The following is a 1,562-nucleotide window of genomic DNA, read 5'->3' on the forward strand; positions in this document are numbered from 1 at the left end:
CCTTAAGCTGATAAGCAACTTCAGCAAAGTCTCGGGATACAAAATCAATGTGCAAAAATCACAAGTATTCTTATACACCAATAACAGACAAACGGAGAGCCAAATCATGAGTGAACTCCCATTCACAATTGCTTCAAAGAGAATAAAATACCTAGGAATCCAACTTACAAGGGATGTGAAGGACCTCTTCAAGGAGAACTACAAACCACTGCTCAACGAAATAAAAGAGGACACAAACAAATGGAAGAACATTCCATGCTCATGGATAGGAAGAATCAATATTGTGAAAATGGCCATACTACCCAACTTAATTTATAGATTCAATGCCATCCCCATCAAGCTACCAATGACTTTCTTCACAGAATTGGAAAAAACTACTTTAAAGTTGATATGAAACCAAAAAAGAGCTCGCATTGCCAAGACAATCTTAAGCCAAAAGAACAAAGCTGGAAGCATCATGCTACCTGACTTCAAACTATACTACAAGGCTACAGTAACCAAAACAGCATGGTACTGGTAACAAAACAGTATAGACCAATGGAACAGAACAGAGCCCTCAAAAATAACACCACACATCTACAACCATCTGATCTTTGACAAAGCTGACAAAAACAAGAAATGGGGAAAGGATTCCCTATTTAATAAATGGTGCTGGGAAAACTGGCTAGCCATATGTGGAAAGCTGAAACTGGATCCCTTCCGTACACCTTACATAAAAATTAATACAAGATGGATTAAGACTTAAATGTTAGACCTAAATCCATAAAAATGCTAGAAGAAAACCTAGGCAATACCATTCAGGACATAGGCATGGGCAAGGACTTCGTGACTAAAACACCAAAAGCAATGGCAACAAAAGCCAAAATTGACAAATGGGATCTAATTAAACTAAAGAGCTTCTACACAGCAAAAGAAACTACCATCAGAGTGAACAGGCAATCTATAGAATGGGAGAAAATTTTTGCAATCTACCCATCTGATAAAGGGCTAATATCCAGAATCTACAAAGAACTTAAACAAATTTACAAGAAAAAATCAAACAACCCCATCAAAAAGTGGGCAAAGGATATGAACAGACACTTCTCGAAAGAAGACATTTATGCAGACAACAGATACAAGAAAAAATGCTCATCATCACTGGCCATCAGAGAAATGCAAATCAAAACCACAATGAGAAACCATCTCACACCAGTTAGAATGGTGATCATTAAAAAGTCAGGAAACAACAGGTGCTGGAGAGGATGTGGAGAAATAGGAACACTTTTACACTGTTGGTGGTAGTACAGATTAGTTCAAACATTGTGGAAGACAGTGTGGCGATTCCTCAAGGGTCTAAAACTAGAAATACCACTTGACCCAGCGATCCTATTACTGGGTATATACCCAAAGGATTATAAATCATGCTGCTATAAAGACACATGCACACATATGTTTATTGTGTCACTATTCACAATTGCAAAGACTTGGAACCAACCCAAATGTCCATCAATGATAGAGTGGATTAAGAAAACATGGTACATATGCACCATGGAATACTATGCAGCCATAAAAAAGGATGAGTT

This window comes from Homo sapiens, chromosome 3, assembly GCF_000001405.40.
Source record: "Homo sapiens chromosome 3, GRCh38.p14 Primary Assembly".
NCBI lineage: Eukaryota > Metazoa > Chordata > Mammalia > Primates > Hominidae > Homo > Homo sapiens.